General features: G+C 34.1%; 1 annotated feature.

Annotated features, from left to right (window-relative positions):
* Positions 2,764-3,451: an enhancer, noted in NCBI's record as "OCT4-NANOG hESC enhancer chr10:67085516-67086203 (GRCh37/hg19 assembly coordinates)". NCBI's record gives its function as "activates a minimal SCP1, AML or CMV promoter by ChIP-STARR-seq in naive H9 embryonic stem cells {active_cell/tissue: H9 hESC(naive)}" and the evidence as "EXISTENCE:reporter gene assay evidence [ECO:0000049][PMID:30033119]".

Here is a 4,336-nt window from a genome sequence, read left to right as displayed (position 1 = left end):
AAATAATTTATCAGTTTGGAGACTGTATGGGAAGATTTTTTGAGCTATGCTTTTTCTGATGTTACTTGCTTATTTTTATATATATTCCTGTCCATTTCCATATCACCATTCCAGAAGACGAAGCATGTGTAATTAGTTTTGTTTTGCAATACAGAGCCAAACACCATCTTCTTGGCCTTTGAACTATAAAATTTAACTAAATTATACCATTTATGCTAGAGGTGAGGATGTAGGTTGGAGAATGAGGTATCTGTATCATTTACCATAATATAGACTCAGTATATTGCTTTAAAAATTTATATGACAGCCTTCATATAAAACTTTTAGTTGTTTGAACATGGAATTTAACCTCATGGAAAGCCCATCTCCCCCTTATTCATTTGGTGAAATCCTACTGATTTCAAAGGACAACTTGATAAAACTCTACAAAGTTTTCTTTTTTTTTTTTAATCTCCATAGCAAAGTTAATCACTTGTCCTATGTGCCTACCAGGAAATTCAGTCATATCCTTCCTAACACATAGTATGTTATTTTATGGTTATCTGATTGGAAAAATTGATTTTTCATCACTAGAGTTTGAGAGTCTTAAAGAAAGTATGGCACATAAAAAATGTTCAGTGAAATTTATTGAAATAATGAGTGAATGTGTATGCTATTAATCTATTCACAATTTTTATAATGTAGGGAATTCAAAAAATTACAATTTACTACTCTTTTCTTCAGTTGGCAGCTATGGCATTGTAATAATGTCTGCGTTTTAAGTAAAATGTCAGCTAAGTATTAAATGCTTATATAATCATATATATGTGATTGATTACATATAAACGACTTTATGTATACATGATTATGGAGTGTGAACTTAAAAAGGGGGAAAACTCACTTTCTGTAAGATGATGAGGATCAGGTAACAGAAATATACACAATTAATACATTGATAACATTAAGAAATGCAGAAAACTCCAAATTTTTGAAAATTATAGAATACACTTCGAAATAAGACACGGATCATATAAGAAACTACAAGGGAGAAGAAAAATATCTTGAACTTAATTATATTGAAAACATATTAAATGTATGGAGTATAGCTAAATAGTCCCTTAAAATAAAAATGTAGCTTTTGAAAGGGTTGTTGGAGCTCCTTTTGTTGTCAGTTACTCTCAAACAAGTTCCTGTTTTAAGCATCCTTCAGCAATACTTCCACTTGAATTTGGCAATATGTAACTACTTTTATTTAACTGTGCCTGGCTAAATTCAGATTTTATTGCTAAAAAGAAAAAGAATGATCAATGTTTAGGTAGACAATAAATTATCTCTGCCAAAGTTTCAACTTCAGAGACAGCAAAATATTGCATAATAAAGAGTATACAATTACATGTTAATTAGGTAGATTTAATAATTCTACAATGTATATACACTTCAAAACATTATATATTGTTCATGGTAAATACGATTTTATTGGTCACTTAAAAATGTTTTTAAAAAGAATATTTAATCATAATGTACAATGTGGTTTAAATGTAATGATATTTAAGTAGTCATTCATGCAAACTGAATTTTTATTTAAATATAATTACAGTGAAAATATAATGGTTATATTCAGGAAATTGAAAGCAGTAAGGTGATGGGAGTAGTAGAAAGGGCGGGATAAGAAAGTCTAATTCTCATCTGGAAATATTAAGTTACATGTCGACGTTACATACTGTCAGATTGTGAAATATTTAAAGAAATTTATTCTGAGCCAAATACGAGTGACCATGGCCCAAGACACAGCCCTCAGGAGGTCCTGAGAACACATGCCCAAGGTGGTTGGGGTACAGCTTGGTTTTATATATTTTAGGGAGGCATGAGGCATCAATCAAATATATTTAAGAAATACATTGGTTTGGTTCAGAAAGATGGGGCAACTCAAAGCCAGGGCGGGTTGGGGGTGGGGGGCGCGGGGGGAGACTTCCAGACTATAGGTAAATTTAAACATTTTCTGGATGACAATTGAATTTATCTGAAGACCTGGGATTAGTAGAAAGGAATGTTCAGGTTAAGATAAAGGATTGTGGAGACTGAGTTTTATTGTGCAGAGGAATCTCTCAGATAGCAGACTTCAGAGAGAGAGAGAGCAGGTTGTATAATGTTTTTTAACAGACCTAAAAGGGTACCCGACTCTTAGGTGATGATCTCCTGGATCTGGAAAGGAAGGAAGGAAAACAGAGTGGGAAGGGGATTCTCTATAGAAGGTGGATTTCTCCCACAAGAGACTTTGCAGGGGAATTTCAAGGTATGGCAAGGAAATACATTTTGGGGTTAAACATTTTTTCCTTGTCTCATAATGTTATGGCAGAGTCAGACTGAAAAATGTCACAATATCTAGGGTCAAATAAAACCCATCTGATGAGAATTTATGGTTTGCAGGGCATTACTCCCCAGTCCCCTTAGGTAGGAATTTGGGCAAGATAAAAAATCAGACCTTAGTCCTCGAATAGCAGGAAAAATTATGGATAGAGGAGCAAAACTGGTTGAGTAGAGAGAGAACTTTTTTAAAGACTTGTAACCTTATTTTATATGTAAATTATGTAAATGTAATCTTTTTTAAATAATAGAAATTAAATTAAGAATATGCTTAACTAGAAACTATGGATAATATTCAGAATGTACAGATCATTACTCCCTCTCTTCCAGTTCCTTAAAATAAAAGGTAATACAATTTCCCATCAATAACCAAAAAAATTTAAAAAAAGAAAAGAGATAAGAAGTTATGGGGAAAATGTAAAGAGAAAGTAATAACATTGCAACGAATTCCGCCTTTATGAACAGTGATATCTGTGATGTATACACCTGGAAATTTACCATGTAAGGACACTAAGTGACAAAATATAGAGAGAGGACTTTTTCTTCTAACCATAAATTTGTGGCTAAAACTAGACTTGCCCTCTCTTTAAAAACAACTGGAAAAACTGGAGAAAATACGTGGAAAAATCTGTTTGCAGAAATTAGTTAGCAGCCAGTACAGGATTGTGATCCCTGAAAGAAGTAAAACAATTGAAGTGAGCACTGCAATTGTCATGGATTTCTGCCTGAGGCACTGCCTGGACTATAGCTCAGAGTGAGAAACAAAACAGCATGAGGGCCTTAGTTAAGAATACAGAGCTTGGGCTGAGGGGGAGACTGAAGTAGCCATAGTTTACCAGATAAAGTAACAGAGAAAAGTGAAACATGCAGAGAAAGAGCTCCAGAAATCTGTGTCGTGCTACCCTTGATTCCCTGACTGAATGGTTTCCACATGTCTGGTGAAATTCACTGAGGCTGGTGTAGGGACCAGTGGAAAACTTCCTCTTAGCCCTCTGAAGGTTCACTGAAAATCAAATGATGCAAGACATATTAGTAAGAGAAAAGCCATATAAATATATTAATGTGCATGGGAGAGAACCACATAGATATTATGGTACCACACAATGAGGTACAGGTGACTATGTTCCCTCCTTCTTAGGGCAAGTGGAGATGGGAAAGTGTGGATAATTTTAGGGAAATAGTAAATGATTTTTAGGGGAATTCAATGGGCTTGAAGACCCTACAATGGCCTGCAACAAAGTCTGTTGGGCCCACAGAGCAGACAATGGTTTGTGACAGGAGTCTGTTCTGGTGTTCTGACAAACTTCAATCTTTCTTCCTACAATATGAGTCCAGTTAATAAAAACTAAGGGAAGGGACTAGAGGTGTTGATTTCTTCCTTGGTGTTTCCAGCCTTTGGCAGATAAGGAAACTTTGGAGAACAACTTCATCCTGTGCTTGGGAAAGACAAAGGATGGAGAGACAGGAGGAGAGGAAGGTTAGAAAGACCTTGAGGCTTCTTCAGTTCAGCATCTCAAAGCGCCATATGCGTGGGTATCAGTTGCTGAGCACCCACACTGGTTAAGAACTACCAGCAACTTATAAACTAACCAATTCTGACAACTTACACGACTCAAAAATGGTATTTTTAACCAGTAAGATTGATAAGACCTTCATTTAAAAACATTGTTTGAAAATTCATAAAAAATACAAACAAAAGTGACACGAGTGAAATTTCAAATAATCTTATGTTTACTGTTAAAATTACAGAAGTTATAGAAAACTTATTAAGTAAAACTCTTGAGTAGTTTTCTTGAATTATTTCAAACATTTAAGGAACAAATAGCACCTTTTTTAAACATAAATTCCTTCAGGAAAAAATAAAAGAAAATATAATTTATTGATCAACATTATAAAGCCAGAATAACTTTGATAGCAAAAATCAACAAGGATATTATAAGAAAGGAAAATGCATACTAATCTTTCTCATGAACTTAATCAAAAATATGAAAGA

Source organism: Homo sapiens, chromosome 10 (genome assembly GCF_000001405.40).
Source record: "Homo sapiens chromosome 10, GRCh38.p14 Primary Assembly".
In the NCBI taxonomy this organism is placed as follows: domain Eukaryota; kingdom Metazoa; phylum Chordata; class Mammalia; order Primates; family Hominidae; genus Homo; species Homo sapiens.
This window is presented reverse-complemented; position numbering and strand designations above follow the sequence as displayed.